The following is a 1,380-nucleotide window of genomic DNA, read 5'->3' as shown; positions in this document are numbered from 1 at the left end:
TGATACTGTATATAAAATATTTTTGCTTGCATTCTTCAACTTATTTCATTATAAGTACTTTCCATGTTATTACTTAGTCTTTACAGCACTATTTTAACTTGCAAATAACATTCTGTTGAAATATCACGGTTCGACTTTTACTTCTGTCCTCAACAGGAGACATATATGTTCTTTCCAATGTTTCATGGTTACAAGCTGCCCTTAGCATGTCATGCCATAGAGTTTAGATTCTATTCTTAAGGCAATGGGAAGTCACTGACAGATGCTAAGCAGCCAAGTAATGTCATTGAGTTTTCGTTTAAGAAAGTTCTTCTGGGCTTTCTGAGAAGATTAGTTGGCTAAGGTAAGGCTGAAGGTAGGGAGAACAAGAAAGCTGAGACTGAAGCTGAAACTTCCCAGACCTCTCATCTCACAGAAATTGATACTCACAGTGCCAGTCTTGCCCTCACTTTATACCGGATTGTAAAAGTTTGAGCATTATGAGAATTTTGGGCTCCAACTTCTTCATTTTACAGTGAAATAAAGCTGAGAGGGTTTAAGTGACTTCTCTAAGGTCACATAAAGATTTAGTGGAGCCTAGAACATAAGGCTTCTGATTTTAGTCTCACGTCCTTCACCACAGCAGGCTGCATCATCATGAAATAATATAAATTAAATGTCGTTGGTATACTCAGCACTGTGTTAAGGTGAAGAGAGGTTTATAAGTGTGTAGAAGACAGGGATCCTTTATGATAGTAGAGGTGTGATAGTGATGATGATGATGATAATAATATTAGTGATGGTGGCAGTGGTGGTGGCGATGGTGATGGTGGTTGTGGTGGTAGTGGTGGTGGTGGTAGTAGTAATGGTGGTGGTGGTGGTGGTGGTAATTGATGGTGGTAGTGGTGGTAGTGAGGTGGTGGTGGTGGTAGTGATGGTGGTGGTGGTAATTGGTGGTGGTTAATGATGGTGGTGATGGTAGTGGTGGTGGTGGTAGTGGTGGTGGTGGTAATGATGGTGGTGGTGGTAGTGGTGGTGGTGGTAAAGGTGGTGGTGGTGGTGGTAATGATGGTGGTGGTGGTGGTAGTGGTGGTGGTGGTAATGATGGTGGTGGTGGTGGTAGTGGTGGTGGTGGTAATGGTGGTGGTGGTGGTGGTAATGATGGCGGTGGTGATGGTGGTGATGGTGGTGGTGGTAATGACAGTGATGGTGAAGGTAGTGGTGGTAATTGGTGGTGGTAATTGGTGGTGGTGGTGATAGTGGTGGTGATTCTTTGCAAAGGACAAAGTACTTCCACAGCTATGATCTAATTTGATCTTCAAAATAACTCGAATAATAGTGGCCAGGATTTCTTGCCATGCTAGGCATCATGTGAGATGTTTTATTTATTTGATACCATAG

Source organism: Homo sapiens, chromosome 8 (assembly GCF_000001405.40).
Source record: "Homo sapiens chromosome 8, GRCh38.p14 Primary Assembly".
NCBI classification, from domain to species: Eukaryota; Metazoa; Chordata; class Mammalia; order Primates; family Hominidae; genus Homo; species Homo sapiens.
This window is presented reverse-complemented; position numbering follows the sequence as displayed.